This window comes from Homo sapiens, chromosome X (genome assembly GCF_000001405.40).
Source record: "Homo sapiens chromosome X, GRCh38.p14 Primary Assembly".
Taxonomy (NCBI): Eukaryota; Metazoa; Chordata; class Mammalia; order Primates; family Hominidae; genus Homo; species Homo sapiens.
Window position 1 is genome coordinate 51,844,013 of NC_000023.11, and position 8,096 is coordinate 51,852,108.

Here is an 8,096-nt window from a genome sequence, read left to right on the forward strand (position 1 = left end):
GTTAAAAATACAGACATTAAAAAAGCTTCATGTGAAGGCAGATATGTAGACTTTAAAGGTATTGCTGGTGACAGCACAGAAGGAAATAAGGAACATTTTATTGCTCCTCTCTTAGATATGAGCCAGCATGTGACTTCTCCCTCTGCCCCTTTCCAGGTTCCCAAATTGTTTCTATGGTAAGTTGAATAATGGCCCCCTAAAGATGTTCACATTCTAATCCCCAGAACTGAAGAAAAGAAGATCCTTACTATATAGTGGCAGAAAGCTTAGCTGAATGTGGCTTACAGTTTTGTAGTAAGCAGACATTGTAAGCAATAAGCTTGGATATTTAGCTGAGATTTCCAAGCAAAGTGTTAAAAGTATGGCTAGCTTCTTCTCGATGCTCATTAAAATGTGACAAGAATGAGAGAAATTGAAGGAAGAACTGTTAAGCAAAAATGAACTAGGACTTGATAGTTTGGGAAATTCTCAGCCTATCCAGACTGCAAATGATGTTAAAATTTGGAGATTCACAGTCAGGAAAGCTTACTATGGAGAGAAAGCCAAAGCAGGCAGTGTGGCATCTTCTCTTCTCTCTGATCTCTGCAGCATCTTCTCTTCTCTCTGATCTCAGTCACACACAAAGGTGTGACTGGACAGCCTTTTGCTACTGCCTTGGAAGAGGGCTTTGTGAAGAGATTAGGCATGCATCTCATAAATCCTCTAAGCCAGGAATAGAGATGGAATTATCCAGGATAGATATCTGGAGGAAGTCCTTGTCTAATGGAGTGAATACTGAGACATACACAAGAGACCCACAAGGCATTTTAGAAGGTTGTAGCAGCAGAAACACTACCAGCTTGGACTGAAAGGGACAGAGAGAGAATGGAATGAAAGAAGGCTGTTGGACTTCTAAAATTCTACAGGCAGAAGACAGGCTGATAAAAATATTTAGCAGTAGGCTGGGCGTGGTGGCACATGCCTGTAATCCCAGCGCTTTGGGAGGTTGAGGCAGGAGGAACACGAGGTCAAGAGATCGAGACCATCCTGGCCAACACAGTGAAACCCCGTCTCTACCAAAAATACAAAAATTAGTTGGGCATGGTGGTGCGTGCCTGTAGTCCCAGCTACTCAGGAGGCTGAGGCAGGAGAATCGCTTGAACGCAGGAGAATCGCTTGAACCCAGGAGGCGGAGGTTGCAGTGAGCAAAGATCACACCACTGCACTCCAGCCTGGCGACAGAGTGAGACTCTGTCTCAAAAACAAGCAACAAAACAAAACAAACAAACAAAAAATTTAGCTGTAAATACATGCTACCTTTTATGAAAAAGAATGACTCTGAAGGTGGAATGAGCCTGGGTCCAGAGGGTAGACCCTTGAGCCACAGAGGATATTTTTAGGCCTTTAGCCTAATGGAGTATGACTGGTTAGATTTTAAAATTGCTTGGGACTGGTAGCTCTTTTTTTCTCTTTCGTTTTTCTCCCATTTTGGATGGGAATGCCTGTAACTATCAAACTATGCCTGTTTCACCTTTGTATTTTGGGAGCAGATAATTCGTTTTGCAGTTTAACAGGTCCACTGATGGAGGTGAATTTTTCCCCAGGATCCTTTATATCTAGAGCCTCACCCATACCTAAATGAGATGACTTACATGATGAGATTTGAGACTTTTGAGCTGATGAGACTTACATGAGATTTTGGACTTGATCCTGTAATGGGTTGAGACTTTTCAGATCTTGGTATGAAATGAATATATTTTCTATGTGGATCTGATGTGAATGTTTTGTTTTGTTTTGTTTTGGAGACAGGGTCTCACTCTGTCACCCAGGCTGGAGTGCAGTGGCGTGACCATGGCTCACTGCAGCCTCTATCTCCCAAGTTCAGGTGATCTTCCCATCTCAGCCTCCCGAGTAGCTGGTACTACAGGTGCATACCACCACGCCCGGGTAATTTTTGTACTTTTTGTAGAGATGGGTTTTTGTCATGTTGCCCAGGCTGGTCTTGAATTCCTGAGCTCAAGTGATCCACACACCTCAGCCTCTCAAAGCGCTGGGATTACAGGCATGAGCCACCGTGCCCGGCCCGATGTGAATCTTTGGGGGCCAGAGAGTGGACTATCATAGGCTGAATAATGGCCTCCAAAGATGTCCACATTCTAATCCCTGAAACTTGTGAATATATGACCTTACACGATGAAAAGAGACTTTGCAGATATGATTAAGTTAAGGATAGATATTAAGGTGGGGAGATTATCCTGTATTACCCAATGTAGTCGCAAAGTTCCTTATAAGGGAGGCAGGAGATTTGGAGTCAGAAAGGGAAGATACAAGGTTGGAAGCAGAGATCAGAGAGAAGAGAAGATGCTGCAGTGCCTACTTTGAAGATGGAAGATGGAGCCACGAGCCAAGGAATGTAGGTAGACTGTGGAAGCTAGAAACTGCAGGGAACTGGATTTTCCCCAAAAGCCTCCAGAAGTAATGCTCTGTATTGACACCTTAATTTTAGCCCAGTGAAACAGATTTTGCATTTCTGACTATATTAGTTCATTCTCGCACTGGTATAGAGAAATGCCTGAGACTGGGTAATTTACAAAGAAAAGAGGTTTAATTGGCTCACAGTTCTGCAGGCTGTACAGGAAACATAGCAGCTTCTGCTTCTGGGGAGGCCTCAGAAAACTTAACAATCATGGCAGAAGGCATGTCTTACGTGGCCGGAGCAGGTGGAAGAGAGAGAGGGGGAAGGTACTATACACTTTTAAAACAACCAGATCTTGTGATAACTCATTCACTCATTATCACAAGAACAGCACCAAGTGGATGGTGCTAAACCATTCATGAGAACTCCACTCTATGATCCAACCACCTCCCATCAGGCCCCACCTCCAACATTGGGGATTATAATTGAACATGAGATTTGGGTGGGAACAGAGATCCAAACCGTATCAGTGACTTTCACAACTATAAGAAAATACATTTGTATTGTTTTAAGCAACTAAGTTTGTCATAATTTGTTATAGCAGCAACAGGATGATTACAACTTCTTAAACAAACAAATATGTATCTGTTTAAAATGTTGATTATCAAATACATCAAACCTATAGAAAAGAATCAGAAAATAACAGGGATTCACTATCCAGATTAAAATAAACATTTTACCACACTTTATTTCAATGTCTTGTTAAAAAGAAATAAAGTGTACAAATACACCTTCAGCTCACTCTCATCCCATTTCCCTTGTTTCCTCTGTAAAAGTAACCATTATTCTGAGATTGGTATGTATCCTTTTGGGTCACGTTTTTGGACATATACCCCTAAAATACATATAGTATTGTTTTCTACGTTCTAAAATATTGTATAAATGCTATCATACTGTACCTGTTATTTAACTCCTTATTCATCAACATGTTTTTAGATTTATTGAGTTCATTTTTAACTGCTATATAGTATTGTTGCAGAATTTTGCTCCTTAGTTCAGCTAGAACTGGGTTCTTGTCACAAGACCAGGAAGGATTAGGAACATGGATACATTGAAGGGTGAGGGGAATGGAATTTATTGGGTGAAAAGGAAAAAAAAAAATCAGCAAGGGGATCCTGCCAGCAGCAGGCTCCCATCTCACAGATTGAATGCCAGGCCACCACACAGGAACCGAAGATGAAGAGGCCAGGCTCCTCCCCACTGCAAAGAGTGAACTTCCCATGGCTCCACCCCATTCTCCCAGTGGGCAAACTAGTCGGAGATTCTCCGGGGGACCCTCCTCCTATCTCTTTCTCCTGCATTTATCAGTATTACATTTTGTGGTGTTTATCTTTCCATTCCTGATATGTCATATACCAAATATGGACATTTACTTGTTGCCAGTTTTTTCAATATTACAATGCTGAAATGAGCATTCTTGTACAAATTTCCTGTGTACGTGTGCAAGATTTTCTCTAGAATAGGTATCTAGAAGAGGAATTACTGTATAGTAAGTTATGTACATCTTCAGTTAGCTAGATGTTGAAAAATTGTGGCTGTGACACTTTAATTTCAATTTGTCTCCCTATATTTTCAGCACTTTGTATTGTTGGACTTTTAAATTTTTGTCAGTATTATGGGTGTGAAATGGTATCTAACTTTAATGTCTCAGATAAACTAGGGGGATTTGACATCTTTTCATATATTGACTGGCCATTCTTTTTTCATCTTCTGTGATTTGCCACTTTACATCCTCTTCCTATTGTGTTGGGTCTTTTTTATATACCTGCAAGACTTGTTGTTATATATTTATATACAATGGATATTTATGTTGATTTTACAGTTTATAATATCTTCTAGTCTGCGGCCTGTCTTTTCCATCTGCTTATTGTGTATTTTAACCAAGACCACCCTCAGGCTTGATGATTTGCTAGAAGGATTCACAGAACTTACAAAAGCTGTTATACTCATGGTTACAATTTATTAGGATGTGTGACGGTGCATGTGAAGTGTTGTCAGCCAGGGAAGCATACCTGAACCTTGGTGTCCCGGGCTTTTAAAATTGGGAATCAGTCACATAAGAATGCAGCACTTGCATGACTAGCCTTAGTTACTGAGACTACAGCCTCCCCTCACCCATAAAGCACAAAAACAGGCACTTACCACAAATCACAGCATTTGCACAAACTATCTGATCATAATGGTACTGTATGGCCCAAGGCCTCAGGCATATGAAAACAACGTGAAGCAAAATATGCCGGTGGCTTGAGAACTCATCTCCCAGGAATTGGGCAAGGGCCAGCCACTCCTGGAGACAGGACTTTCCTGAGAATTTGCAGGGTTTGGGGGTTTTTGAGTTAACCCTTTCCTGCACAGGAGGTATATATTTTAATAGTCACATTTATCTTCCTTTTCCTTCATGTTGTACTTTTTCTGTTTTTTATTTCTTTTTTTTCTCTTTTTTTTTCTTGCTTCCAGTGGGATTAAGATCTTTTCTGTTTTTTTTTTCATCTCGTTTAAGGAATTCTTCCTTACCTTGATGTCATAAAGATATTCTACTATAAATTCTCATGTAAAATTTTATAGTTTCCTTTTCACAATTTAGCTCTGTGGTCCACTTGGAATTTCTTTTTGTAGAAAAGAAATTCTATTAGAAGAATGTAGGGATGTAAGGATCTTACTTAATTTTTTTCTGAATGATTAATGAGTGGTTCCAGGACTATTAATTATTCTGTTATTTCTGCACAGATTTATAATGTTATCTCAGTCGTATACCAATTTCCTATATATATGTGTGTCTGCTTCTAGGCTTTCTATTCTGTTCCATTGGTTCGTTTGTCTATTTCTGTAGCTTTATAATGCATCTTAATATTTGGTAGGGAAAGGCCTCTTATTCCTCTCCCTCAAAAATATGTTCTTTTCATATGAGTTTAAGGTCAGCTTACTTTAAATCTTAAGGTCTGTAAGAAACATTGAGATTTGATTAGAGCTGCATTTTGTTTATAGATTAGAGACAGAACTGGCATCTTTACAAAAATGAAGGTGGTTCATCTCTCCCTTTATATAGGTGTTTTTCATTATTTTGAGAAAGTTTTATAAGTTTTTTTATAAGTATCTAATTCATAGTTTGCTAGATATATTTTTGTGTGCCTATTGCTCTCATGAATATTTCTAAATTACATTTTGTTATTGGTTGTGCCAGGTGTATAGGAATGCTTGATTCTGGTATATTGTTGTTAAATCCATCCACCTTGCTGACCTCTCTCTCTAAGTCCAATTATTTGTTTATATATTTTGCTAGGGTTTTATATAAATATTATATAAAACATGCTTAAAAGTACATGAACCATAACTATAGAGCTAAATGAAATGTCACAAAGTGTTTTTGGTTTATTTATGTAATTTGTGAATAATTTTTTTCCCTTTTCCTTATACCGCCAGAATTTGATGTCTTTCTATGTAAAATAAAATAGAATTTCTTTTCTGAAATAATCTCTTTTTTTTTAGACAGAGTCTTGCTCTGTCGCCCAGGCTGGAGTGCAGTGGCATGATCTCGGCTCACTGCAACCTCTGCCTCTGAGGTTCAAGCAATTCCCCTGCCTAGCTGGGACTACAGGTGCGCAACACCACGCCTGTTTAACTTTTTATATTTTTAGTAGAGATGGGGTTTTGCCATGTTGGCCAGGCTGGTCTCAAACTCCTGGCCTCAAGTGATCTGCCCACCTCGACCTCCCAAAGTGCTGGGATTACAGACGTGAGGCACTGCGCCCGGCCTGAAACAATTTTATTTAAGCACCTGAGGAGGCTCACGCTCTAGTGAGCTGTGTTGGATGTGTCAATGCTTTTCAACTTATCAAAGAAAGGAAATTACCAGTATTTGGAAATTCCAACAGAACTTAACAAAAGGGCCTACAGAGTGGTGATTTCAGTTAGTTGACCACAGTCCAGGATTTGGTTCTGAGCATTTGTGAAATGTTGAAACAAGACTTGGTGGTAAACAAATACAAATTAATTTACTGAGACTAACATAGATACGGGTACAGAGAGAAAAACACACACATCATACTAATGTATTATTTCCACTGGTCAACACACTCAGGCCTTTTATCCAGGGCATGTCAGTTTCAGTATTGAGGTACATGGGAAGTCAAACTAAGAAAACAAAATGCTGGCTGGGCGCAGTGGCTCACACCTTTAATACCAGCACTTTGGGAGGCCAAGGCAGGCACATCACCTGAGGTCAGGAGTTTGAGACCAGCCTGGCCAACATGATGAAACCCTGTCTCTACCAAAAATACAAAAAATTAGCCAGGCATGGTGGCAGGTGCCTGTAATCCCAGCTACTCGGGAGGCTGAGGTAGGAGATTTGCTTGAACCCGGGAGGTGGAGGTTGCAGTGAGCTGAGATGGTGCCATTGCACTCCAGCCTGGGCGACAAGAGTGAAACTCCATCTCAAAAACAAACAAACAAAAAAAAGAGAAAGCAAAATTCTGTTTACTGTGACCTAGCACTAAAGCAAAGGAAAGTAAGGAATCTTGTAAACGTGGAATCCTTTGTATTAAGGAATATATTCAGTTACTCTGCCTTCTCTTTATCACACCCCAAGCAGTTTGAGAGGCAGCAAGATGCAGTGGAAAAGTACTGGGTTTGATAACTGATTGACAGGGATTTGAATCCTAGCTCTTTGTGGATGGACCTTAGGCAAGTTACTGCACTTAACTTCTCAGAGTTTCCATTTTCTCACTGTTGAAATAGAAATCATGACATTGTTAATTTAAAAGAAATACAGCATCTCAAAGTAATTATTATAGAGTAAATCCAGCAGAATCACAGGCTTGCATTTGCTTATCCAGGCCTGTGAGTAAAGAAGAAAGTGCCAGTCAATGATTATGCCTAATTTGCCGGAATAAATCCTAGTACCAGTCTGTTTCCAAGTACAAGTAGTCCCCGCTTATCCTCCAGGGATACATTCCAAGACCTTCAGTGGATGCCTGAAACTGTTGACAGTACTGAACCCTATACATACACTGTTTTTTTCCTATACATAATGTACCTGTAAATTAGGCACAGTTAACAACAATAACTAATAATGAAATAGAAAGATTATAACAATAGACTGTAATAACAGTTATGGTAATGTGGTCTCTTTCTCTCTTTTCTCTCAAAATATCTTATTGCACCATACTTACCTTCTTGTGATGTTGAGAGATGATAACCTAGCCAGCTACTAGATGACTCATAGACAGGGAGCATCTATAGCACAGATACGCTAGACAAAGGGAGGATTCATGGCCCAGGTGGTACAGCCAGAGATTTCATCATGCTATTCAGGACAGTGTGCAATTTAGAATATATGAATTGTTTATTTCTGGAATTTCCCATTTAATATTTTTGGACTGTAGTTTACTGCAGGTAACTGAAACTGCAGAAAGTGAAACCACAGATAAGGGGGTACTGCTGTATAGAGATGGCAACTACAACTTTACTACCAGATGTATTAGTTTCCTATTACTGCTGTAGTAAATTATGACAAACGTAGTTTAAACCACACACTTTTAATGTTACAATTCTGGAGGTTAGTGGTCCTAAAATCAAGGTGTTGGCAGGGCTACCCTTCCCTTAGGGACCGCTAGAAAATAATCTGTCTTCTTGCTTTTTCCAG

General features: G+C 39.7%; 1 protein-coding gene across 4 annotated transcripts in view; it reads left to right on the plus strand.

Moving 5' to 3' along the window:
• MAGED1 (MAGE family member D1) overlaps window positions 1–8,096 on the plus strand; it is a 99,279-nt gene that overhangs the window by 40,937 nt on the left and 50,246 nt on the right. The window lies entirely within an intron of this gene.